This window comes from Homo sapiens, chromosome 2 (genome assembly GCF_000001405.40).
Source record: "Homo sapiens chromosome 2, GRCh38.p14 Primary Assembly".
In the NCBI taxonomy this organism is placed as follows: domain Eukaryota; kingdom Metazoa; phylum Chordata; class Mammalia; order Primates; family Hominidae; genus Homo; species Homo sapiens.
In genome coordinates this window covers 26470910-26497225 of record NC_000002.12, presented here as the reverse complement: position 1 = coordinate 26497225, position 26316 = coordinate 26470910, and the positions used below count along the sequence as shown (strand labels likewise).

The following is a 26316-nucleotide window of genomic DNA, read 5'->3' as shown; positions in this document are numbered from 1 at the left end:
GAGGCTGAGTCTGGAGAATAGCTTGAACCCGGGAGGTGGAGGTTGCAGTGAGCCTAGATCGTGCCACTGCACTCCAGCCGGGGCAACAGAGTGAGACTCTGTCTCAAAAAAAAAAAAAAAAAAAAAAAAAAAAAAAGAAGAATGTACAGAGGTCCATGCTTATTCTAGCTGGGGAAAGGCTTTTCTTGTTAAAACACACGTTTGAGAGAGGCAAGTGAATCAATCATTCTAAGTATCATGCACAAGCTCCCTACTTGAGAGATCAACCGCTTAGCTGAAGGGAGATTCTGTTGGGGTCACTCACATTTTGTAGAGCTTTCTGCTGTTTAGGATGCATTTTGACACACATGATCTCATTTAACCTGCATACAACCTTACAGGTAGCTGGTGTCTCTGCTTGTAACTGAAAAACACAAGGCTATGTGGTCATTTGCCCTCACACCTGGCAACATGTCAGGTCTGGGGTTCAATCCCAAGTTCAGCAACCCCCAGTACATGCCTCTGTCTATCTTAACATGGCCACCCTGACAGGAACTGACACCTCCAAATCCAAATGAGACCTGATGGCTTAAAATGAGGGTTCGGGAAAAGTAGTAGTGATGTCAAAAATTACTGGTGCTCTGGCTCTCTCTCTCTCTGTCTCTCTCTCTGTCCTTATATCTTTTTAGCTTAAAAAGCCAATAATTGGCTGGTCACAGTGGCTCGTGCCTGCATTCCCAGCACTTTGGGAGGCCAAGGCAGGCAGATCACCTGAGGTCAGGAGTTCAAGACCAGCCTGGCCAACATGGTAAAACCCAATCTCTACTAAAAAAAAAATACAAAAATTAGCCGGGCGGGGTGGCATATGCTTGTAATCCCAGCTACTTGGGAGGCTGGGGCAGAAGAATCGCTTGAACCCAGGAGGTGGAGGCTGCAGTGAGCTGAGATCATGCCACTGCACTCCAGGCCTGAGTGACAGAGAGAGACTCAGTGTGAAAAAAAAAAAAAAGCCATTAATCATTTGTGGTAAGCTCCACAAGGAAGAATTTGTTGCAATCCCACCTGTGCCTGGCTCCAGCAGGTTTCCAGGAAACATTTGTTGCATGAATGAACAACTGAAATAGGGCTTCCCAGGATATAAGTAAGATTGCAGAGCTGGACGCCACATAAAGGACACAGCAGAGTGCACACAACATACAATCAGTAGGCTGAAAAAGGCGGCTCAGGCAGGCACCAAAGCCGCACTGGCCATACAAACAAAGAAATTCAGCAAACAATGTGGAAAGGGGGGGGAGCCAAATTCCAGAAATGCAAAGACGTATCAGAGGCCTGCAGGCTTACATGAGAATTCCTGGAGCAGGAAATTAAATGCAAGTTAATGAAGACTTTGAAAGCTTTATTCCTGAGTGCATGAAACCTGTGACATGGGTTTGGCAGCTCTTTCTGAAGCAGAGCCATCGACGCTGGGGAAGAACGCAGGGCACTTGGCATCACCTAGGAGCTTTAAAAATACAGATTCCAGCCTGGGCACGGTGGCTCATGCCTGTAATTCCAGCACTTTGGGAGGCCGAGGCAGACAGATCACTTGAGGCCGGGAGTTTGAGAACAGCCTGGCCAACATGGCAAAACCCCATCTGTATAAAAAAGACAAAAATTAGCCCGGTGTGGTAGTGCATGCCTGTAATCCCAGCTACTCAGGAGGCTGAGGCAGAAGAATCACTTGAACCCAGGAGGCAGAGGGTTGCAGTGAGCCGAGATCATGCCACTGCACTCCAGCCTGGGCAACAGAGTAAGACTCCATCAAAAAAATAAAAATACAGATGCCTGAGCTGCATGTCCAGGATTGGATTGGATTGGTCTGGAGGTGGCCTGGGCATCAGTGTTTTTAATGCCTCTCCCTCCCTTCGGCCCAGCAAGTTAAGTCTAGTGAACACTGACTTAGAGGTTAGCCAACTCATACTCCTCTATAAATGAAGACACTTGAGGCATAGAAGGAGAAAGAGCCAGGATCACCCAGCAGATGAGAGGCAGTGGTCAGAATGGAGCCCAGGAGGCCAGTGCTGGCTCCCGGGCCCTCCCTCTGACCCTGCTGCCCCAGCCCCTGGACCCCTGCGGGACCAGGCTCCTAGGCTCAGGCAGCTTTCCTTCTGGCTCCCCCTTCTCCTGCCTGCAGGTCAGCATCACGGTGATCGAGGCCCGGCAGCTGGTGGGCTTGAACATGGACCCTGTGGTGTGCGTGGAGGTGGGTGACGACAAGAAGTACACATCCATGAAGGAGTCCACTAACTGCCCCTATTACAACGAGGTCAGTGGCCCTGTGGGGAAAGGAGCCTCTGTAAATATGGCAGGAGGGTGGCCCCAGCCCTCCCCAGGAGAAATAGGAGTGGCTGGAAGTCAAGGAGCACACAGGGCTACCAGCAGGGGTGATCCACCCTGTTACAACCCCCAGGACACTGACAAACAGAGCCACATCTTCTGAATCCTCTGAACCCCCCAGTCTAGAGCACAGGCCGACACTGGTCTTTGAAGCGTACACCACCCGGGTGCTCCTGGGCAGACCCCAGCAGTGCCTGTGAAAGAACCCCCCCCCACCCCACTCCCCAAGAGGCCTGGTTCCCACTGTTTCCCAGGCCAGAGCCCAAGGACAGGGCTGCCTCATTCCAACCCATGGTGGCACTGGCACCATTAGTAAGCACTTTCTACCAGCCAGGCATGCTCCTAAATGCTTCTGAACTGGACCATCCAAAGTTGTCACTATCAATTCCCTTTTACACAAGGGGACAGTGAGACTTCTGAAGGCAGACCTTGTCCAACCTCACAGTGCCAGCATCGCCCTTGGCGTGCTAGTGGGGTTCTGCCCTCTTGGCTCGGCTCCTTCATGGTTGCCTAAACTTCTGCGGGCTTCTCTCCAGAGCACTGGCCTTGATTTTAGGGTGTGAAAGAGAAAACATTTGGTACCCACTCCTATTCTTTCCAGCCATTTGAGGCCACATCAAGGGTGAGGGACCTCAGAGACCTTCTACTTTAATCTCCCCATCTTACAGAGGAGGATACTGAGGCCTCCATATGGAAGGGCCTTGCCCACAATCTCAGAGAGTGTTGCTGATAGAGCAGGGGCCAGGCTGCCCACCCAGCTTCCAGCCCAGGGCTCTGGCCACCATCACAAATATGGCACCTTGGTTCCCAGGCTCCAGATGGGACCCCATCATAATCAGCTCTGGGGAGGGATGTGAGAAATAGAGAAATACACTCACTCATCAAAACCCAAAGAATGACTTAGAGGCATGAAGAACAGCGAAAGTGAGACTTTTAATAACGGTCTTGCAAGATGGAGTGTCTGGTAGGCAGGCACCCCTGGGGCAGTCACAACAGGAATTTATCTCCTAGTGTGCAAGTCCCTCCCCCACTTCCCCATTGGTTGAGCACTATGGGGTTACAATCTTCCCTGACGTCGCCTAAGTTTCATTTTCCCCCTTACAAGGTTATACCCCGCTCCCCTTCGATTTCCCCACTTAAGTTTCGATTTCCCAATAACAAAACTTTCTTCCCTTTCATGGGCTGACCCCTCCTCTACATTCTGTTCGCTTATTGTGTCCTTCTAGGTGCATGAGCCGTGTGGTTTGTTGCATTCGCAGGTTGGATGCCAGTACTTAGACTTATCCTGCCTTGAAAATGGACCATTGAAAATGTTTTCTCACCAGGATGCCCAGGCCTTTCCCAGATGCCTGATCACACATCAGACTAACCCAGAAGCCACAGGCCTGGGCCCTGCCATCCCTTTCCTGGAGGGTTCCCCAGTCTGTTTCTCCTGGTGGCTCCAGGCAGTGAGGGGTGCCAGGCTGTCCCAAGTAAGGCAGCTGAGTCCCGTACCCTGAGGTGGGTGAGGGCTGAGGTGCCCCCTGTAGCTTGGGGGAGGGCATTTCTCAGGCAGCTCTGAGAGTCCTCAGACTGTGCACCTGCAGGAAGAAAACCCAGGCCCACCTCTGCCCTTCAGCCCAGGCCTGGCCGAACTCTCCTTTGTGACCACAAATTGACTCTGCTCTCCCAGCTGCTTTCCCACAGGCCCCCCGAGCTGGACAACCTGCTCAGGACCCCTCCAGCCCCAAGGACATTCAGGATTGACATCTCTGGCCTTACGTTAGGACACATCCTGACTGGACAAGTCTCCGCCTAGATAAGCATCTATGTCCCCAAGACAGGCATGGAGACAGGTCCCTGTGGCCCCGGTGGTTACTTGATAGCAGTGAAGCCACTTCTGCTAACTTAAGGGATCTCCCTCCACCAGGCCCACACACCTTGGCTTTCATTCAAATTACTTCCTCTTTCCCAAGGGCACAGAGCTGCTCTCCCTACTCTGTGGCTCCCCCAGAAAACTCCTACTCACCCGGCAGGGCCCAGCTCAAATGTTCTTGCTACTGAGCAGCCTTGCCTGCTCTGTCTGGGTCAGAGGTCAGCACTCCCCTTTCTCTGCAGTGTTAATGTCCTGGAGTTGAGGTTGGTCCTCCGTGTCTCTGTCCTGCTGGTGGACTGGAGGCTCCCAGTCTCCTGCCTCGCTATTTGTTCAGAGCCAGGCATGTACTCGGAGGGGTTCAGTAACACTCACCCAAAGGAAGACACAAACATCCACTGAGCATCTGCCGCACACCAGACAGTGGCACGTGGGGCAACATGGAGGCTGCCGAGATGAAGGAGGCACAGTTTCCGCCCTGCGCAGGTCCCCTCCTTGTTTCAGCCTAGAATCTTTCTAAATTCCCTATTTACTTCCTCTAAGACTGACTATTCATTCTGCTCATCTTTGGACAATCTTAAATGTGTTTCTGATCACATTTTTGTTCTTTTTCACAAACCCAAATAGCTCTGATTTTGTTTCTGTTTCCTCTAAACTAGGGTTTCTCAAACTCAGCACTATGGTATCTTGGACTGGATAATTGTGGTGGGATCGTCCTGTGCTGTGTAGGATGTGAGCAGCATCCCTGGCCTCTACCCAGTAGATGCCAATAGCAACTCCCCTTAGTTACAGCTACCAAGTTTCCAGACATGCCAAATGTCCCCTGAAATCGCCCTCAGTTGAGACCACCATTCTAAACTATCTTACTATGATTCCTTCCAGCCCCAAATCAGCCTTTCCAGCCCCAAAGCTTTGTTTCCCTTTTCTTCTCTTTCTATGCCACATTCCTTTTCAATGAAGGACATCCTCCTCGTCGTGGGAATGTATTATTTCTGACTAATTATCTGAGCTGGTAGGAACCTTCCTTTGGCTCCATTAAAACAACAGAGGGAGGTGGGAACAATCAACATGACTTAGGTATCTAAGCTATTACAAAAGGAAAATATGCTCAGGAAATAACAGGAATTTGATTGCAGACAGCTCAGAGAGTTCGGGATTCTGGCTCTAGCTCAGCTAGCTCGCTCCCCTGGGGCTGGCACATCTGCGGGCACCTGGCCTGATCACCCTGCCTGGCCCTGAGCCTGCCTGTGTGCAGGGAAGCTCAAAACCTTTGCCCTTCCGGAACAAGCTGGCCATTCACAAACCAGACTAAGGCTCCTTTCCTGTGTGTCCTGTGTGTGCATCTGGCCCCGCCCTGGGCATCTTGGGAGCGCCACCATCCTTCCTCCTGCTGAAAATCCACCTCTCCCCTTTGCCTTGGATCCTTCTCTTTCTACAGCTCAAAGAACCTGGCATTGCACAGCCCAACTCTGTCTTTGTTTTTCTTCCAGCCCCTTCTTCCTTGCCTATAAGGTGTTCTACTCCAGCATATGCTAAGTACAACCATGAAGACCCATGTGTGCTCAAGGACAGGAACTAGGAGTCTGTCACCTCTCTCTGGGCCTTTCCTCATTCCCACACACTTCTCCAGTGACCTCCTTTTTCCCTCCACCCCTCCACAGTCAGACCACTTGGGTTGTCCTCACTTCCTCCCCCCAGTCACCCCTCAATCTCTGCAGGGTTTCTGCCTCCAGATGTCATTGACACTGCTCTCCTCAAGGTCACCAAGGACATTGCTGTTCCTGAGTATAATGTCCATGTCATCCTCCTCTCCCTTGATCACCCAGTTTCTTTCATCCCGCTGCCTGCTGCTCCTCTTGGGGGCCCCTCACGCCACTCTCCTGCTTCCCCTGTCTCTCCAGCTCCATCTCCCCGGCCTAACTTCTTGGCTGAAAGGCTGTGTCTTCTTGGAGCCCTGACCTGGGCCTGCTTCCCCTCCCATGCTCTCCCCAGGTATCTCCTCCATCTCCAAGGTGTCAGTTACCATCTTGTGCTGACGATTCCCAAATCCATATCCCCACCCGCCTCCCCAGAGCTTCAGAACTCTGGCCAGCACACCCTGGGCCTGTTAGTGTCATGCACAGCTGTCGCTGCTTGCTATGTGCTTACCGTGGTGCACACCTGTGTTAAAGACTTGACCAGGGTGTCTCATTGCAACTTCACAACCACACCTTGAAGCCCCCCAAGTGAATGGCACCCCTGGAGCAGTTCAGCACGACAGCCCTGGATCATATCTCCACATTCATAGGATAATAGGTAAACTGAGGCTCAGGCAAGAAAGTGAGTGATCTAGCAGTAACAGCCAGGTGGGGCTGGCTCTGAAGCTGGCTTTACCCTCAGTGCTCAAGGGCCAGCCCCCAGCAGCCAGGAGCACGTTCTCTTCGGACATTTACCCCAAGCACATTGGAAATATTTCTCCCTTCTCCCCCACCACAGTTCACCAAAGCAGCAGCCCCTCTACTCACTGCCCCACACCCTCATCCTCAGCACCTGCACACCCAGGCCAGGGGAAGAGATGGGGACTGCAAATGTGCATGGCAGCCCACAGCACCAAAGGACAGTGCACACCCATGGCATTTCACATCGACTGCCAACTAAGTGCTTGGCACACCATGGTTCATCTGCTCTGAGGCTTGCGTTATTTTACAGTTTCACCTCTCTGAATTTGGGATGTGTCTCCTAGGCAGCCTTGTGGCTTCATGGCAATGTCCATGTGGCTTATTAAACCGTAGTATATCTTACAGCCAGTAGCCACTTTAGATTTGGTAAAATATGTTACACTGTCTCATCAGAGCCTCATAACAAGACTCTGAGGTGGGTGTCATTATCCCCATTTCACAGCTCAAAAAACTGAGGTTCAGAGAATGTGTTGCTCAAGGCCACACAGTTAAGAAGGTGCAGAGCGGGGACTAGAACCCAGGTCTGCTTGCTCCCTGGCCCTGTGCCTCTTCTGAGCACAGTACAAGGGCATGGGCTGTCCCACCTACTGTTCCAAGTTCCTTTCCCACCCCACACTAGCCAGCACCAGCCCCACCTAGGGGATGGGGCTCTGCTTCCTACCACCCACCACCAGGGTCAATCAGGATCAGATGAGTTGCCTCTGCTGCTCCTCTGAACTTTGGGGCTCAGGGCAAATGTCTGGGGTGCAGACAGGCCCTGCGAGGAGGGAGGGGCCCAACACTGCCTGGGCTGTTGCTGCTGCCCTCAGTGACAGCAGGCCTGGATCCTTCCCCCTCCAGTACTTCGTCTTCGACTTCCATGTCTCTCCGGATGTCATGTTTGACAAGATCATCAAGATTTCGGTGAGTGGGGAGCAGCCCCTGGCCGGCAGGGCCACTCCCTCAAACTGCACCTTTGTGCAGACTTGAGAGGGGCCCCCTCTGTCTAGACCCATGATAAAGAGGCAGCGCCGTGCCTGGACACACGGCTGGGCAAGTAGGGACAGGCTGGATTCTGGCCCCCACCCACCCCTTTCATTGGATGCCTCTGAATAGTGCATTCGCCCGTAAACAGTGGCCAGCAAGAAACTGGCGTGGGCAGGAGGAGCTGATGCTGAGCCTCAGTGAGCCACCCCACTCTGCCAACGCCCTCCCACTTCACCACAAAGCTCGGGTCCCACCACTGCCCCATGGAAAGCCTCACCCTTGCTGGGCCTGACGGGTGGGCTGTGGTTCTGCCTGAAAGGTGATTCACTCCAAGAACCTGCTGCGCAGTGGCACCCTGGTGGGCTCCTTCAAAATGGACGTGGGAACCGTGTACTCGCAGCCAGGTGAGTACCTGCGCATGGCCAGTCAGTCGAGGTGTGCATGGCTCAGGGAGCGTGGTGCACGGGGCCCTTCCCACTGTGGCAGTTCCTGGGAAAAGGCTGGCAAGGACCACAGTCTGGCGACTGTTAGTACACACAGCCATCTGGCCTGCGGAGAAGTGGCGCGCACAGTCTGTACACAAATGCAGTGAGCAACTGCGCACCCAGTCTGGTGGGTTCTCACTCATAATTAGGTGAGTAACTCTGCACAGAGCCTGGAAGGAGCTTCATCACACGCTCTGGAGTGCATGGCAGGCTGGTGCATCACTGGCCATAGGCAGGCTGACCAGTAGTGGTAGAGGATGCGGTGAGGGAGACCCGTCACAGCCTGCAGAGAGGCTGCGCCCAGACTCCTGCCTCCTGGGCTGGCACCTGCTGAGCAGAAAAGAACCCCTTTCCACCCCTCACAGGACCCTGCCGTCCCCTTTTACAGTTGAGGCTCAGAGCCAGGGCTTGCCCCAGCCACACAGCTGGCCGGGGGTGAAGTCAGGCTGTGTGTCCCCAGAGCCTCACTGAGCCACACTATCCAATCTGAAAGCGGTGATGCTGGTCAATGCCAGATGTAGTGCGGCGGCCTCTGAGGGACTCTGGTCTCTGAAAACACTTCTTACAAGAGCCCCAGGCTTTTGGGCAGCCATGTGTGCTCCGTGGCGTCCTGTAGGGTAACAGCAATGGTGTTGGCAAGGGAACCCCAAGGGGTGGCCCAGAGGGCTTGTGAGGTGGGCCAGGCAGAGGAAGTGCCTCAGCCTGCCAGATGACAGCTCACCACGTGGGCAGGTTAGGGACCACCCTGTGTCCCTGAAGTGAATGCACTGCTCAGAGTGCTGTAATGACCCCATTAGGCGCTTTGACAGTGAGAACATAATTTCACCCAATTGTCACATTGGGCCCTCACAAAACAGTAATGTAGGCAGCAGCATTTCTTCCCATTTTGCACATGAGATAAATGAGGCTAAGAGAAATGAAGGGGCTTAGAGATACCACTAAACTAGTAGGTTGAACAAATTGGCGATCGCTTGTGGTTCAACCTAAGAGACGTCCAGCTGGTGCACATTACAACTATGACTTAGACCAGGGAATCTGAGTCCAAAACCAAGATTATACACATAAAAATCACAAGATCATAGAACACTCAAGCTGCCCAAGACCTGAAAAACATCTAGTCCAGCCTCTGTGAAGATAAACTGAAGCCCAAGGTGATGAAGGGGTTTGTCCACCATCTAGGAGTAGCACCCCTGTCTCCAGCTCCCAGGCCAGTGCCTTTGCCACCACCCCACACATGCCATAGCCCTCAGCGGAGGGCAGCCCTGCTGACCATCAGTGCCATGGGGAGCAGGGAAGAGTCGGCCTCCTGCCATGTTGCTTTCCAGGAAGCATGCATAGCCGTGGACTACTTGCTTGGAATGACTGGCATCCCTGAGGATAAGCTCCTCCCAGGGCTGAGCAGTGGCCCTGGTACCACTGGCAGGCCTGAGGCCGAGAGCCAAGAGAAAGTCAGGGGGTGGAGAAAAAGGCAGATATTAGTCTAATATGGACCTCTGGGCTTCTGGGTAGTAAAGTCCTGGTGAGGAAACCACCAGGGCATCAGTAAGTGCCAGATGTTGGGCTAAGCTCACTGTCCCAGCAGGCCTCACCCTCACGACCCCATATAGGCATCATTCCCATTTCACCATAAGGAAACTGAGGCTCAGCAGGCTTAAACAGCTGGTCCAGGGCCACATTGTGAGTAAGCGGCAGAAACAGGATGTGGGCCGAGGTCTCCACTTGGGTAACCTAGCTCGAGATTTGCTGCTTCTGCTGAATCCAGCCCTGAGCCTGGTGCCCTCCCAGGGACAGGAGAGCCTGAAGTCACATGGGTCCTGGAGTTGAGACCCAATGTCTTTACTCTGATATCTCCAGTTTGGCCTGAACTTCTTGATGAGTCGTTGGTTCCAGCCAGGGCATTGTTGGACAGCATGCTCCCAGAGACACTCCTGGGTGCTGCTGGGAAGCTTTGGGTGGTGTCGATATCTCTTGGAACTGGAAGGGGTTTCCCGAGAGAACCTCTTCTCACCCTGGCAGGACCACATTTTGTCATTTGTACCACCAGATGCAACATCAGGAAACTGTTTACTGTTTGCTACTCTCTGTTGGGGGTGAGGACGGGCCATACACTCATCCTCATAGATCATAGAGGAAGTCAGGGGCATACACTCATCCTCATAGATCATAAAGGAGGTCTGGGATGCAGCAACTTCCCCAGCTGGGCTACCCTTGACTGGCAGGTGTCAGCCCCAGGCTGAAGGGAGGTGAAATGATGTTTCAGGCTGGTAAGCATATAGCTCAGGATCTCATGTGGTCCTTGTATCTCTAGCCTGAGATCACACAGTATTAGGACTAGAAGGGCCTCAGAAGTCATGAGTCAAGTGTTAACCTGATGTAGGGACCCCCACAGCACCATCTCTGATTGGTCCTCTAACCTTGCTTAGTCCTCCCAGAAATGGGGCACTCACTACTTCTTATTTTAGATATCTTCACTTTCTTTAGGTCATCTCAAAATCTGTCACCCTGTAACCTTCACCCACTTTCACACGTCTCTCTTTCAGGACAAAAAGAAAAATAGCCTTTAAATTTGAAGGTAAATTTTACATTCCTCCTGAACCGTATTCTCTTTCTTTGCTAAATGTCCCCAATTCATCTAACCATGCACACCTCTATACATCTACCCCTGTATCCATCCATCCACTCACCCACCCATCTACAAATCCATCCACCCACCTGTCCACAGATCCACCCACCCATCCATGTATCCATCCATTCACGCACCAATCCATATATCCATTGGTCCACCCACCCACCCATCCGTGAATCCATCCACCCACCCACCCGCCTGTCTACAGATCCACCCACTCACCCATATATCCATCCATCCACCCACCCACCCATCCATATATCTACCCACCCATCTATCCACAGATCCATCCACCTACCCACCCATCCACAGATCCACCCACCCATATATCCACCCATCCACCCACCCATCCATATATCTACCCACCCACCTGTCCACAGATTAATGGCTCCTTCTATCCAGTAATCCATTCACCATCTGTCCGTCTATCTCTCAGCCGGCCAGGCAGCTCACCACCCATCCCTCTGCCCATTTATGCACCCATTCATTGAGCTTTCTGTCCATCTCCTCATCCGACACACATCTGCTCTGGCAAGACCTGAAGCTCCTGGGATTCCTGGGACATGGCCCCTCCCTGGAGGCCTGCCAGCCTGGCTGAGGTTCTCCAGTGACTCCTCATCCACGTGCCTTCCTGCCCTCTCACCTTGCTTGTCCCTCTCTTCAGACTCTACTGTGGCATTATCTTTTCTGAGACACAGGTGGCCTGGCTATTCCCAGAAAGGCCAACCTCTGTACACAGCCCCTAACATCTCCGGGAGCCCACCAGGGCCACAGGCTTGCAGGACACAGGCCTGGGCTACGGTAGAAGGTGGAAGAGGAGGGAGTGAAGGAGGGAGGTGCTGAGTCCCTGAGAGTTCAGTGCCCACCTAACATCCCGGGAAGCAGATTCCTAAGGCACAGTGATGCGCTTCCCTTTGCTTGCCCACTGGGCTTAAAGTAAACCTGAAGGGGCAAATCCTTCCTAAAGCGCCTCCTTCCCTGACATCCGTCCTTTCCTCCACACAGTCATAGGTCATGGGACACTGGGATGAGACTGACAATCCCTGTCTTTAGGAGACTCTCAGTCTAAAATCAGAGCCAAACAATACCCAGATCAGCACAGTGAGATGGGAGGTGTGCATGGAGAGCACAGAGAACAAACACTAAAGAGCCCAGGATCAACTCTTCCGAGGAAGTCAGGGAGGGCTGCATGGAGGAGGAGAGACTTGAGCAAAATGAGTAGAAGTTTACAAATTGAATAGGGAGAAAGACAGGTGGAGGTGGAGAGAACAGGAATGAGGGCATTCCAAGCTCAAAGAGCAGCAGATGCAAAGGCATGGAGGTATAAAAGGGCATATAAAACCGCAACACCTGTTCAGCAAGGAGGAACACAGGGCTGGGTGGGCTCAGCAGAGTGAGTCAGGGAGCACTAAATCAGGAGCCTGCAGGCCATGCCTTTTGTCTTCACCCCAAGGCACTGGGAAGCCCCAGAGGGGCTGAAGATGGGGAGCAGGAGCATGAGCCTCCACCTGGGAAGGCCCTGTGTGCAGCTGTGTCCTTCACAGCTATGTGAAGGCTGGCTGACTGGGGTGGGGCCATAGAAGAGGCCACAGGCAGAAAAACCCAATTAGGAGGAGGCTGTCGTGCTTCCAAGTCACACCACTCATGGGATATATGTCCATGGGCAGGCCATGCACCCACTGCCCCAGCTCCAGAGGACCTCAGACTCTATCACACCCTGGGCTAGGGACAGGCAGAGCTGTGGCCCCAGGTCCCGGGACTCTAGGGACCAAGACAGCATTTGGTTCTGCCACCCCTTGGCCTGCCCTGAGCACTGGGAGACGCTCTGGGTGGGGGTGTCTGGTGCAGTGCCCACCCCTCATCATTGCAGAGCACCAGTTCCATCACAAGTGGGCCATCCTGTCTGACCCCGATGACATCTCCTCGGGGCTGAAGGGCTACGTGAAGTGTGACGTTGCCGTGGTGGGCAAAGGGGACAACATCAAGACGCCCCACAAGGCCAATGAGACCGACGAAGATGACATTGAGGGGTGAGGCCCAGCTACCCCAGCCCCTGGAGTCTGAGCCAGCCCTTCCTTCCCCCAGGGAGCCCCCGGTGAGGGTTTGCTGAGAGCACCTGCCACCCGTCTCCCTCACCCTGCTCTCGCTCACTCTCCCAAGCAGCCCCACTCTTCCGAGGCAGGGCAGGGGCAGGGGGTGATGGAGGATGGCTGAGAATATCAGTCCTTTGACATCCTTTCTGCCAGTGAGAAATGGGTTGAGAAGAGTCGATGCTGGCAGACCAGAACCAGCAGCTGCTGGGTCCTGAGTATAGCAGCAGGAAGTGCTGGGAGAGCCAAGGTTTCTTCTGGTGTGCCAATTCCAGGCAGCTGATAGCAGCTGTTGAGAAATATTCTGTGACCTTGTCTGGAGTCAGTGGGTAAAAGTGCTGGGAATCAATGAATCCTGTCTTTTGTGAGCTGGGGGAGAGAGAGTGGCTACTGTGAAGTTTTTGTCTACGAAACAAAAGATACGGCACAAAACTATAAAACACTGACAATAATACTAAGATCATATCCCAATGTACAATCTACAAAGCACTCATATGTTTTAGCGTGCTTGAGCCGATCATGTTCTTGGGAGGTGGGTATTATTACAGCCACCTCAACAGTGAGGAAACGGCAGCTCAGTGAGATGGGAAGATTTGCCCAGAATCCCACAAGGGGCAAGTTCCGTGAACACAAGTGTCTAATCCTAGCCTTGCTCCCTCAGCTGTCCCTTAGAGACTGTGCCAGGACCCAGGAGTGTGTAGATGCCAGGATGGGGGTTGGGGACCTGGACCTGGTGACCATGGCCCTGGCTGTATGTGCTGGCAGGAACTTGCTGCTCCCCGAGGGGGTGCCCCCCGAACGCCAGTGGGCCCGGTTCTATGTGAAAATTTACCGAGCAGAGGGGCTGCCCCGTATGAACACAAGCCTCATGGCCAATGTAAAGAAGGCTTTCATCGGTGAAAACAAGGACCTCGTGGACCCCTACGTGCAAGTCTTCTTTGCTGGCCAGAAGGTACTGGGGTATGAGGTACAGGAGGCTGGGGCTGGGTGACAGGTATCACAAGGGCAGGCTGATGGGTGTGGGGCCTGGGGCAGCTGGGCAGGTAAGACAAGGCTGGAAATCATGTTGGCCAGGGACGGACTTAGAGGATCCTCACTGCCTCCTGGAGTCCTTAGACTGAGAGCTGCGCAGGGGGCATGAGAGGGAGGAGAGGCTGGGGGTGTGGGAAGAGTGGAGACAAGTCCACACACAGGCACGCACACACACATGCACCCACTCATACACGCACGCATACCAACTCACACACGCACGCATACCAACTCACACATGCAGACACGCACCCACTCACCCGTGCACACGTGCACCCACGAATACACACACACATGCACCCATTCACACACGCACACACACCCACTCACACATGCACACATGCACCCACTCACACACGCACACACACCCATTCACACATGCACACATGCACCCACTCACACACGCACGCATACCCACTCACACGTGCACACATGCACCCACGAATACATACATGCACCCACTCACACGCACACATGCACCCATTAACACACGCACACATGCAACCACTCACACACGCACACATGCATCCACTCACGCACACATGCACCCACTCACGCACACATGCACCCACTCATACACACACATGCATCCACTCACACACGCACGCGCACCCACTCACACATGCACCCACTCACACACGCACACATGCATCCACTCACACACGCATGCACACCCACTCACACATGCACACATGTGCCCACTCACGCACACATGCGCCCACTCACACACACACACATGCACCCACTCACACACACATGCCACGCCCTCACCTGTGCTCCCCCTTCCACCAGGGCAAGACTTCAGTGCAGAAGAGCAGCTATGAGCCCCTGTGGAATGAGCAGGTCGTCTTTACAGACCTCTTCCCCCCACTCTGCAAACGCATGAAGGTGCAGATCCGAGACTCGGACAAGGTCAACGACGTGGCCATCGGCACCCACTTCATTGACCTGCGCAAGATTTCTAATGACGGAGACAAAGGTCAGCAGCGGGAGACCCGGTGTGCTGGGGGGCAGAGGGAGTGGCCTGAAGGGAAGGAATATGTGAGATGCCCTCTCTTCACACCACCGTCATCAGCTCTGGTCCTCAGCCTCACAGGTGCTTCCAGGGCCTTGCCAGCAGCCCCTGCCTCAGGGGGAGGGTGAGGATTTGTGGCTCAGGTCGGCTCAGAGCTGGCCTGAGCCCAGCTGACTGGATTTGTCAGCTAGTAGTTGTGTGACCTGTTTTCCCATTTGTAAAGTGAAAATAATAATGATTATATGATATGATAATTATAGTATGATATGCACATTATAGCAGTGTATATACTGCATTTGTATATAATTACAGTGTGTGTGTATATATATATGATACCTAATAGTAGTGCCTATCTGCAGAATCGCAGGGATTGACTACCTCCTAGGATCCCTGCCCTGTGCTGGGTTCCAAGGACATAGAGTGAGATAAGAATCTATTCCTGGATCAAAGTGCTCACTGTGTATTGAGGAGATAGATGTGCTACCAAATGGTCAAAACATAAGGCAGAAGACACAAAAGGCCACATGTTGTCTGATCCATGTATGTGAAACATCCGGCAAATCCACAGAGACAGAAAGTAGATTGCCGGTTTCCAGGTGCTAAAGGGAGGGGATTGGGACTAACTGCTAAATAGGTGCAGAGTTTCTTTTGAGGGGGTGGAACTGCTCTGGAAGTAGATGATGGTTTATAGCACAGTGAATATACGAAAAACCACTGAAATGTACACTTTAAAAGGGTGAATTTTATGTCATGTGAAGTATATCTAAATTTTTAAAATGCTATAAGTGTGTTTTTTAAAAAAAGGCAGAATAAAAAGGAAATGAACCAAAAAAACTGGATCATGAGACCCCTGTCAGAGGCCTGACAAATCTTAGCCATAAGAGAAGGGACTTGTGCCTAGGAATTGGGAAGGCTTCGTGAGGAAGCAGCATTTCACAGGCAGAGATGGAGAGGGATGGCCTTCAGCAAGGAGGGGAGGGGTCTGCACTGGCAGGGTCACCGTGGTGGGACAGAGCTGCAAAAATGGCACAGGGCCCAAGGTCATGCTGCGGACTTGGAAGGACTGGCTCTGTCCTACAAGTAGACTGTTGACAATTCCTGCTCTAAGTTCCAGGAAGCAGGGAGCTAGACTTTGCCTTCCCACTGCTTCCAGCTCAGGCCCCCGCAGGGAAGAAATAGACCCAAGAGAGTGCTCCACCCCAGCGCAGTGTAAGAAGGCTGCCCCACACCTGAATGGCACACATGAAGTTCTCAGCTCAGCACCCAGGAGCTGGAGGCCAGGGACCCCCAAAAGAGGCCCCTCTTCCCCAGGGAAACTGGATGTGACGCTGCCCCCTCATTTTTGTTCCCACTGCCACAGGCTTCCTGCCCACACTGGGCCCAGCCTGGGTGAACATGTACGGCTCCACACGTAACTACACGCTGCTGGATGAGCATCAGGACCTGAACGAGGGCCTGGGGGAGGGTGTGTCCTTCCGGGCCCGGCTCCTGCTGGGCCTGGCTGTGGAGATCGTAGACACCTCCAACCCTGAGCTCACCAGCTCCACAGAGGTGCAGGTGGAGCAGGCCACGCCCATCTCGGAGGTGAGACCCCAGGCACTGTGCTGTCCCCCAGGGCCTCCAGCTCAGCCCCCTTCTCCCTGAGTCACCTGGGTCCCAGGCTTTGCCTGTTGCTGCCCTGTCTACCTGAGGAGTCATACCTCAGGATAAGGCTTCTCCCCAGGAAGCAGAGGCCCCCACTCAGCCCCGCAACAGGACTCTGCCCTCGTCCACTGCCTGCCTGTGCTCTGTCTCACAACGGCCGCCAGGTCTCACGATGGTGCCTCCCCTCTGCCCCTCTTCCCAGCCACGGCTGTCCCTGTGGTGTCTGCAGCCAGCCCTGCTTCCATGGATATCCAGGCTGGGGGGCCGTTGGGGTGTGGGCTGCCTGGCCCCAAAGCCGGGTGGGATGCCCCCACCATCCACCCCCACGGCCTGTCTGTGAGACGGAAGGAGGCCTGGCCCCCGACCTGCCACCCTTACTCAAGCTCAGGAACGCTTTGAACTGCCTCCCCACAGAGCTGTGCAGGTAAAATGGAAGAATTCTTTCTCTTTGGAGCCTTCCTGGAGGCCTCAATGATCGACCGGAGAAACGGAGACAAGCCCATCACCTTTGAGGTCACCATAGGTGAGTGCTGGGCCCACGGGGGCTTCGGGCCTAGGTGAGTGCTGGGCCCACGGGGGCTTCAGGCCTAGGCTGCAGGTGGTAAGTGTGAGGCTCTGCACCTCAGCCCTGTCCTCACTCTTGTAGGGAACGTTGACCCCTTTCCCCTGAGAGGCCTCAAGCACCCACAAAACACCTTTGTGTGTGCATGGGGTGGACCACGCCCCATAAAGGGGCCAACCCTCAGCTCCACCTACAGGGTGAGGCTGTGTTTGGGACCTGGGGCAGAGGGCAGGGAGAAGCCCTTCCCGGGGCTGGAGAGGAGAGAGTGGGAACTCAGGCCACAGCCTGGGCCAGGGCTGGGCCTCGCACTCAGGCGTCATGAGGACTCCCTGACTCTCAGCGGAGTGGGGACACGGGCTAATGCTCTCTGGCTAATGATGTGTCACGTCTGAGCCCCATTCCCTGACTCTCCCTCTCCCCTTTCCCAAACCCAAGGCAGCACCGGATTGGACGGTGGGAGGGGCCTGGTGGGGAATGCACTCTAGGCCTTCTGGGCCCATTCTGCTCCAGGCAACTATGGGAACGAAGTTGATGGCCTGTCCCGGCCCCAGCGGCCTCGGCCCCGGAAGGAGCCGGGGGATGAGGAAGAAGTAGACCTGATTCAGAACGCAAGTGATGACGAGGCCGGTGATGCCGGGGACCTGGCCTCAGTCTCCTCCACTCCACCAATGCGGCCCCAGGTCACCGACAGGTGGGCCCAGCCTCCCATCCTCCTGTGGCCTGGCCCTCCCACCTCCCTGGGCCCCCAAGACCTCACCTCCCGCCTCTGCCCACCCCAGGAACTACTTCCATCTGCCCTACCTGGAGCGAAAGCCCTGCATCTACATCAAGAGCTGGTGGCCGGACCAGCGCCGCCGCCTCTACAATGCCAACATCATGGACCACATTGCCGACAAGCTGGTCAGGGCCAGGCCAGGGGCCAGCAGGGGTGGGGTCCTGGGGGAGACGGCGCTGTCAGAGGGCCTTCCCTGGAACACACAAAGCTGGTCTGCCCAGGGGGCTGCAGGAACGGCCCCAGCAGGACCTCTGTTCCCATTCTCAGCCCCAGGTCCCAGGGCACAGACAAGGACAGGAGCCACCTCTAGTCACTCAGCCTCCAGTGAATCCTGGGGCAGGAGTGTTGGGTTCCCTGATTTTTCCAGAAATCTTAAAAGCAAGGCTAGGGAGACAGGTGTGGTGGCTCACGCCTGTAATCCCAACACTTTGGGAGGCCAAGGCAGGTGGATCACCTGAGGTCAGGAGTTCGAGACCATCCTGGCCAACATAGTGAAATGCCGTCTCTACTAAAAATGCAAAAATTAGCGGGGCTTGGTGGCGGGCACCTGTAATCCCAGCTATTCGGGAGGCTGAAGCAGGAGAATCGCTTGAACCCGTGAGGCGGAGTTTGCAGTGAGCCAAGATGGCGCCACTGCACTCCAGCCTGGGCAACCGAGCAAAACTTCATCTCAAAAAATAAAATAAAATAAAATAAAACAAAATAAAAAAGCAAGGCTAGGGAAGGGAAATGGGGAAAAGGGAGAAGCGAGCAGTGTCTGAAGCTCAGGAGCTGCCCCCTCCTCCTCTGCCCACCCCTCTCCCCCCATGAGCCATGGGCACTGACTGGGCGAGGAGTGCAGCTGTTGGCATGAGACCTCCTTCTCCCCAGCCTGGGGAAGCAGGGACCAGCAGATAATCCCGCCCTTCCCTGAGCTGTTGCTGTTCCCTGTTGAAGTTCCCTGAAGCTCAGCCAGCTCATATTTTATAAAAATGAATTAAAACCTCCAAAAAAATCAAGGCTAATATGAGGTCTGCTCCCAGCCCCCTGCCAATGTCCTCCTTGTCATCCCTGTCTTGTGACTATAACCACAATTAAAGCCCATAGCCTTTGCAGTGTGACCTGGGTCTGCAGTTATCTGCAAGGCTTCCCCCTAAGGAGCTGGGGTACAAGCTGACCTGTGTTTCCTGTGGGACCTGGGTCTCACAGCCCTCCCAGTGCTCTCAGAGCCAGAGCCACTCCCTCTTCCCCCAGGCATCTGTTCCCATCCCCTGCCACAGGCTCCAGCATTCTGGAGTGACGTCAGGATCTTGGCACATCCAGTCCTAGGGTTTCCCTCTGTCTCTGGCCAGCCCTGAGCCCCGTAGCCGTGAGTTCTGCCCAGGCCCTGTGAGCTCACCAGAGCCACAGACTCACAGCCCAGAGGTGGCTTCTTCCTTCAGGAACTGAAGAACCCCCATGAACACCAACATCTCCAGGTTCTGAGAACAGAACCTGGGAAATTGATGACTTCCTCATGATGACCGATACTCAGGATGGCCCTAGCGAGAGCTCCCAGATCATGAGGTCCCTCACTCCCCTGATCAACAGGGAGGAGGCATTTGGGGAGGCTGGGGAGGCGGGGCTGTGGCCCAGCATCACCCACACTCCTGATTCACAGGAAGAAGGCCTGAACGACATACAGGAGATGATCAAAACGGAGAAGTCCTACCCTGAGCGTCGCCTGCGGGGCGTCCTGGAGGAGCTGAGCTGTGGCTGCTGGTGAGAAGGGAGGGGCGGCAGGTGGGGGGAGGATGAGGCGGAACTGGACAAAGGGGACCCTGCCAGGGCTGGGCAGATGAGGAAGAATCTACAGAGCCCCTGCTGGTCAGGCTCGCTAAACCCCGGCTCGCCCTACCCCCAGCCGCTTCCTCTCCCTCGCTGACAAGGACCAGGGCCACTCATCCCGCACCAGGCTTGACCGGGAGCGCCTCAAGTCCTGCATGAGGGAGCTGGTGAGGACGCAACTGGACGGCGGGGGCTGGAGGGAGGGCCTGGTTGTGAGAAGGTGTCACAACCCCCTTTGTCATGGCCCGAGCTGTCCCCCAGTTGCTGGGTTCACTGACACCCCCTCCTTCGCAGGAAAACATGGGGCAGCAGGCCAGGATGCTGCGGGCCCAGGTGAAGCGGCACACGGTGCGGGACAAGCTGAGGCTGTGCCAGAACTTCCTGCAGAAGCTGCGCTTCCTGGCGGACGAGGTGCGGCCCAAGGGGTCGGGGCTTTGCCTCATCCAGGGCTGGCTCTCTGGGGCCCCTCAGGATCAGGGGGCTCAATCAGGAGGCTAGACCCCCTTACCCACTGCCCCTGGCCACCCCCCAACCCCCAGCCCCAGCACAGCATTCCCGACATCTTCATCTGGATGATGAGCAACAACAAGCGTGTCGCCTATGCCCGTGTGCCCTCCAAGGACCTGCTCTTCTCCATCGTGGAGGAGGAGACTGGCAAGGACTGCGCCAAGGTCAAGACGCTCTTCCTTAAGGTGCTGGAGGGGGCAGGATGGATGGGGGCCTGGGTCCTTTCAGGGGAGCAGCAGCCCCCACCTGGGGCTGGAAGCCTGAGTGACAGGGTGGGGCCTTCAAGCAGCAGGTGCTCAGAGAAGAGCCAAGAATGGGAAGGACGTGGGGGAAGGGGTGGGGAAGGAGGTGGGGGAAGGGGTGGGGGAAGGGGTGGGGAAGGAGGTGGGGGAAGGGGTGGGGGAAGGGGTGGGGGAAGGGGTGGGGAAGGAGGTGGGGGAAGGGGTGGGGGAAGGGGTGGGGAAGGAGGTGGGGGAAGGGGTGAGGGAAGGGGTGGGGGAAGGGGTGGGGAAGGAGGTGGGGGAAGGGGTGGGGAAGGAGGTGGGGGAAGGGGTGGGGAAGGAGGTGGGGGAAGGGGTGGGGAAGGGGGCATGACGGCCCCCTGCCCATCCTCCTGCCTCCACCGGACCCCAGCCCAGCGGGATGGCTGTGAAGGGGCAGGGCAGCTCTGACCAGGGCCTCTGCCGGCCCCTGCCCCTTCCCCACCTCTTGGGCCCTGGCAGCCGTCAGGCTCCTGGTGACCCCATGCCCACCCCCAGCTGCCAGGGAAGCGGGGCTTCGGCTCGGCAGGCTGGACAGTGCAGGCCAAGGTGGAGCTGTACCTGTGGCTGGGCCTCAGCAAACAGCGCAAGGAGTTCCTGTGCGGCCTGCCCTGTGGCTTCCAGGAGGTCAAGGCAGCCCAGGGCCTGGGCCTGCATGCCTTCCCACCCGTCAGCCTGGTCTACACCAGTGAGTGAGGACCCCTCACTCGAAGCCTCACCTGGGAGGGGGCCGGAGGGGCTGCCCATCCTGGAACCTCAGGCTGCCCTTCCCCACAGAGAAGCAGGCGTTCCAGCTCCGAGCGCACATGTACCAGGCCCGCAGCCTCTTTGCCGCCGACAGCAGCGGACTCTCAGACCCCTTTGCCCGCGTCTTCTTCATCAATCAGAGTCAGTGCACAGAGGTGAGGGCCTGGGAGGAGGGAGTGGCTCTGGCTTTGAGAGCACCAGAAGCCTGTGAGCCTGTGGGGACTGGAGCCTGTGGGGCCTGTGAGCCTGTGGGGCCTGGAGCCACAGGTCAGCCAGTGCCCCGGTTTCTCAGGGGAAGCCCTGCAGATAACTGCAGCAGACGCGGGTCACACTGGAAAGGCTACGGGCTTTAGCTGTGGTTATATTCACAAGACAGGGACGACAAGGAGGACATTGGCAGGGGGCTTGGGCCAAACCTCATATTAGCCTTGATTTTAAGATTTCTGGAAGAATCAAGACACCTGTCACTCCTGCCCCCAGGTTCCGTGGAAGCTGAGTGAGTAGGGGTGGCTTCTGTTTGTGCATCTGCCCCCCCCTCTGTCACTTGTCCCCTGTCTCCCCATCCCATGCTGCAGGTGCTGAATGAGACCCTGTGTCCCACCTGGGACCAGATGCTGGTGTTCGACAACCTGGAGCTCTATGGTGAAGCTCATGAGCTGAGGGACGATCCGCCCATCATTGTCATTGAAATCTATGACCAGGATTCCATGGTATGGGTGGGCTCTGGTGCCAGGGACCCCAGCAGCACCACACCTGGCCCTTGTTCCCTGCACTCCACCTGCGCTGAGGCTGTGCCCTCACCTCCGCCACCCACCTGCAGAGCTCCTTGGCCAGGTGCTGGCTGGGAAGCTGGGAGTGGGGGCTGACATCTAGCTCCTCCTGCCTGCTTGCGGCAGCCTGACCCCTTCCCAGGCCAGCACATCCTCACCTCCTGTCTCCTACAGACTGAGCCCTGGAGGTGTGCCAGCAAGTCCTGCTGTCACTAGCCTCCCCACCCCAGGGCTCCCCGACCCCTGCCCTCACCTACCACAACCAGTAACAGCCTTGCCATCCTCCGTGGAGGTTCTGGAGCAGGGAGTAAGGGATTGGGGTGACCCCCGAGAGTTAGCGAGCCACCTTCTCACATACCACCTCAGCTGCTGAGGTGCCCAGATAGCCCTGGACTAGAGGTAGGAGGACCTCATGTCTAGTCCTGAGCCGGGCATCTGCCATTTACTGACTGCTTGGCCTTGAACAAGTCTTTGGTGGGCCCTGAGACTTGGTTTCCTCATCTGTAAAATGGGGTGATCACACCTGTCCCTTACAACAACTCATGGCGCTGTGGTAAGGACCAAACGAGATCACAGGTGTGGACAGCAAGCACCAAGAGGCTTCTGGGTTGTCTGTTGCGTCAGGGCAAAGCTGACTTCATGGGCCGGACCTTCGCCAAACCCCTGGTGAAGATGGCAGACGAGGCGTACTGCCCACCCCGCTTCCCACCTCAGCTCGAGTACTACCAGATCTACCGTGGCAACGCCACAGCTGGAGACCTGCTGGCGGCCTTCGAGCTGCTGCAGGTGGGACTGCAGGGAAGAGGGGCTGAGGCCTGGGGACTGGAGGCTGGGAGTTGGGGCCTAGGGCTGGGGGCTGGACCCTGAAGGCTGGGGCCTGGGGTCTGGGGCCTGGGGGTGGGGCCTGGGGGCTGGAGGCTGGGGCCTGGGGCTGGGGGCTGGGGCTGAGGGCTGGGGCCTGGGGCCTGGGGGGTTAGGGCCTGGGCGTTAGGTCCTGGGGGTTGGGGCCTGGAGCTGGGGCCTGGGGGCTGGGGCCTAGGGGCCTCTCTCCTACCCATCCTGACCAAAGCTGGGGGCGTGGTCCTTAGGGGGTTTCCCTGTCTCCCCAGATCATGGCAAACAACTCATGGGGAAAGAGACCCTGTCCCTGGGCTCCCCAGTGTGTGACCTGTGACCCCCATTCCCCAGATTGGACCAGCAGGGAAGGCTGACCTGCCCCCCATCAATGGCCCGGTGGACGTGGACCGAGGTCCCATCATGCCCGTGCCCATGGGCATCCGGCCCGTGCTCAGCAAGTACCGAGTGGAGGTGCGAGGGCTCTGTGTGGCCCTTCCCTTTTGGATGAGGAGTCTGAGGACCCAGGAGGGGAAGTGGCTTGTCATCCCCCTCCCACCACCATCACCAGGAGCCAGCAGCAGACCCAGGCTCCTGCCCCAGCCCAGGGCCTGCCCCCATCTGCACCAAGTCGCACTCCCATGTCCCAGGACCATGCCCAGCCCTCCTGTCTGCACCCCTGACCCTGCACCCCTTCTCCGGGCAGCCCCACCCTCATCCCTGGAGAACGCCTGCCCCTCCTCTGCTCTCCTGGCCCTGCTCCCACCCTTTGAAATCTGGGGTGAACTACTGCCCATCCCACTGCCCGGTTCCCTATTGGATGGTCCAGCACCCCCATGGCTGGCTCCCTTGACTAAGGGGCTCTCTTCTCTGCACCCACCCTCCAACCTCTCCCAGGTGCTGTTCTGGGGCCTACGGGACCTAAAGCGGGTGAACCTGGCCCAGGTGGACCGGCCACGGGTGGACATCGAGTGTGCAGGGAAGGGGGTGCAGTCGTCCCTGATCCACAATTATAAGAAGAACCCCAACTTCAACACCCTCGTCAAGTGGTTTGAAGTGGTGAGTGCAGGCCCTGGCGGAGGACATCCTGTGGCCAGTGTGGCTCCACTCAGCCAGCCGGCTTCCTCTGCCCCTTCTTGGAGGCTCAGGCTCCTGTCGCCAACACCCCAGGACCTCCCAGAGAACGAGCTGCTGCACCCGCCCTTGAACATCCGTGTGGTGGACTGCCGGGCCTTCGGTCGCTACACACTGGTGGGCTCCCATGCCGTCAGCTCCCTGCGACGCTTCATCTACCGGCCCCCAGACCGCTCGGCCCCCAGCTGGAACACCACGGGTATGGCCACATCCACCCTGCCACCAAGCCTGGCTCCACGCCCCCCAGGGAAGGGCTCCAGGTCTCCGCCCAGTCCAAGCCGCGACCAGAGTTTGCTCTTTGGGGCCGAGGGGGTGGGCATAGAAGAAGGTCACCCTGGTGGCCAAGGAAGGCTGCCCAAGGTGACGCCAGCTCTACAGCCAGAGAGGGCAGAACTGGAGACAGCCTGGGGGGGCCTGAGGGCAGAAAGCCCCTTGCGCTGGTTGATGGAGAAGACCCAGGCCTCCCCGCCACCTCCCTCCCACCGGCCTCCGCAGCTTCCCCTTATCTCGGGCTCTCTTCTTCCCTCCCCATGCCCATATTTTCTCCCTTGACTGCCTGTCCCCCTCTCCCTCAGAAAGTTCCAGAATCAGCTTTAGTTCTCCGCACCTTCCTGCCCCGCCAATCTCACTGTTCCTCTTGCTCCTTCCTCTGCCTGTCTGTCCATCTATCCATCTGTCCAGTCAGGCTTCTCCGGCGCTGCCGTGTGCTGTGCAATGGGGGCTCCTCCTCTCACTCCACAGGGGAGGTTGTGGTGACTATGGAGCCAGAGGTACCCATCAAGAAACTGGAGACCATGGTGAAGCTGGACGCGGTAAGGCGGGTGGGGTCAGCCCCCTGCTGGCTGGGAACATGCAACTTCGTGTGACACATCCTGTGAACCAGACTATCTGCCCCGAGAGAAAAGGACACTAAGAGCCTCCTTTGGCATGTGACTGTCGGGGGCTGAGCTTGATTGTGTGTCCAAACAGCTCCCTCCTAATACTATCCTGGAATGCACACGCGTGCGTGTGGTATGTAAATGTGCATGTGTGTGCGCATGTGTGTGGTGTGCATATGTGCATGTGTGTGTGCATGCATGTGATGTATGTGCATTTGTGCGTGCATGCGTATGTGTGGTGTGCATATGTGCATCGTGCATGTATGCATGTGGTGTATGTGCATGTGTGTGTGCATGTATGTGGGGTATGTGCATATGCACGTGCGTGCGTGTGGTGTGCACATGTGCATGCATGTGTGGTGTATGTTCATATGCACGTGCATGCATGCATGTGGTATGAGCATGTGCATGTATGTGTGCATGCGTATGGTGTGCATATGTGCATGTGGTGTGTGCATATGTGTGTGCATGTGGTGTGTAAATGCATATGTGCATGTGTGCAGTGTGCATGCATGCGGGTGGTAGGTAAATGTGCATGAGTGTGGTATATATGCATATATGTGTGCATGTGCGCTTGTGTGCATATGTGCATGTGTGCATGTGGTATGTAAATGTGCATGTGTGCATGTGTGCATGTGGTGTATGTGCATATATGTGTGCATGCATGCTTGCGGTGTGCGTATGTGCACATGCGTGCATACATGTGGGTGTGTGCATGTGCACTGGCATGTGGTATGTGTGTATGAGAGACAGAGTGAGCCATCACAGTTTATTATAATCACCTGCTATAATTTTTACTCCAACAAATGACACCATAGGTAATGATTCCTTATGAGATCATCAGTGTCCTTTCCAAAGAGTCCCTGGTTTTCCATCCCAGCCATTCACAAATGACACTTCCCTGGCCTGGGTCAGAGGAGGATTTCCAGGTGGAAGCTCCTTATTCCTCCTGGCTTTGGGCCTAGGACTGTTCATCTGCCAGAGAGAGAACTGCCATCTGGGGGTTGGGTGTGGAAGTGGCGTACAAGCTGTAGACCCTACAGGGAAGGGCAGAACGTGGGCCAGCCTGGAACACAGCCCACTGTTCCTTTGGCCACCCAAAGAAACATCCTCACTCAGACCCTTTGCAGACTCACCAGTCAGAGTGCTCTTATTAATGCAAAGTTGGCCTTGCGGGCACAGGGGCTGCCAGCACACAGTAATTTCCATCTCGGCTCCTCCACACACCCTGTGCTAGGCCACTGCCTGCCACTCCAGGCCCCAGTGGCTGATTCTGCCCCTGTCTCCTTGGTTCCTCTGCAGACTTCTGAAGCTGTTGTCAAGGTGGATGTGGTGAGTGTGGGGGCCATGCAGGGGCTCTGGGGTGAGAGGGTCCTTTATTGGCAATGATGTCAGGCCAAAGGGTCCAGCATCAGGGACAGAGCCAGCCCCAGCCCCCGCATGCTTGGGCCAGCACACCTCCCCTAAGATGCAGTGGAAAAGAGCTGGGTGAGTGCAGGACTCGGTGCCAGTCCTGCTTGGGCGAGTGGATCGCACTGGCAGG

At 56.0% G+C, this 26316-nt stretch overlaps 1 protein-coding gene across 5 annotated transcripts in view, besides 5 other annotated features; it reads left to right on the top strand.

Moving 5' to 3' along the window:
* The window catches only part of OTOF (otoferlin), a 101554-nt gene that overhangs the window by 61531 nt on the left and 13707 nt on the right, over nt 1–26316 (top strand). For 2 of the 5 annotated variants that reach the window (NM_001287489.2, NM_194248.3), the window contains exons 9-31: nt 2153–2284; nt 7486–7548; nt 7931–8015; nt 12593–12752; nt 13578–13764; nt 14634–14820; nt 16217–16440; nt 16915–17023; nt 17573–17753; nt 17842–17962; nt 19477–19577; nt 19720–19810; nt 19938–20054; nt 20183–20335; nt 20909–21098; nt 21188–21312; nt 21733–21867; nt 22552–22713; nt 23116–23235; nt 23659–23820; nt 23932–24094; nt 24577–24707; nt 26076–26105. In NM_001287489.2, coding sequence (NP_001274418.1) covers nt 2153–2284; nt 7486–7548; nt 7931–8015; nt 12593–12752; nt 13578–13764; nt 14634–14820; nt 16217–16440; nt 16915–17023; nt 17573–17753; nt 17842–17962; nt 19477–19577; nt 19720–19810; nt 19938–20054; nt 20183–20335; nt 20909–21098; nt 21188–21312; nt 21733–21867; nt 22552–22713; nt 23116–23235; nt 23659–23820; nt 23932–24094; nt 24577–24707; nt 26076–26105 — 3129 coding nt within the window. Of the gene's footprint in view, nt 1–2152; nt 2285–7485; nt 7549–7930; nt 8016–12592; nt 12753–13577; nt 13765–14633; nt 14821–16216; nt 16441–16914; nt 17024–17572; nt 17754–17841; nt 17963–19101; nt 19578–19719; nt 19811–19937; nt 20055–20182; nt 20336–20908; nt 21099–21187; nt 21313–21732; nt 21868–22551; nt 22714–23115; nt 23236–23658; nt 23821–23931; nt 24095–24576; nt 24708–26075; nt 26106–26316 lie in introns of those variants that run through there. The other 3 variants (NM_194323.3, NM_004802.4, NM_194322.3) reach the window with 2 other exon arrangements.
* Nucleotides 3431–3580: an enhancer, noted in NCBI's record as "active region_15474". NCBI's record gives its function as "activates an Ori minimal core promoter by ATAC-STARR-seq in GM12878 lymphoblastoid cells {active_cell/tissue: GM12878}" and the evidence as "EXISTENCE:reporter gene assay evidence [ECO:0000049][PMID:35858748]".
* Nucleotides 7178–7420: a silencer, noted in NCBI's record as "fragment chr2:26712674-26712916 (GRCh37/hg19 assembly coordinates)". NCBI's record gives its function as "represses an EF-1alpha promoter that drives an FKBP-Casp9 reporter gene in an ReSE screen in phorbol 12-myristate 13-acetate-treated (for megakaryocytic differentiation) K562 erythroleukemia cells {active_cell/tissue: K562(+PMA)}" and the evidence as "EXISTENCE:reporter gene assay evidence [ECO:0000049][PMID:32094911]".
* Nucleotides 14396–15201: an enhancer, noted in NCBI's record as "H3K4me1 hESC enhancer chr2:26704893-26705698 (GRCh37/hg19 assembly coordinates)". NCBI's record gives its function as "activates a minimal SCP1, AML or CMV promoter by ChIP-STARR-seq in primed H9 embryonic stem cells {active_cell/tissue: H9 hESC(primed)}" and the evidence as "EXISTENCE:reporter gene assay evidence [ECO:0000049][PMID:30033119]".
* Nucleotides 16268–16768: an enhancer, noted in NCBI's record as "H3K4me1 hESC enhancer chr2:26703326-26703826 (GRCh37/hg19 assembly coordinates)". NCBI's record gives its function as "activates a minimal SCP1, AML or CMV promoter by ChIP-STARR-seq in naive H9 embryonic stem cells {active_cell/tissue: H9 hESC(naive)}" and the evidence as "EXISTENCE:reporter gene assay evidence [ECO:0000049][PMID:30033119]".
* Nucleotides 19478–19667: an enhancer, noted in NCBI's record as "active region_15473". NCBI's record gives its function as "activates an Ori minimal core promoter by ATAC-STARR-seq in GM12878 lymphoblastoid cells {active_cell/tissue: GM12878}" and the evidence as "EXISTENCE:reporter gene assay evidence [ECO:0000049][PMID:35858748]".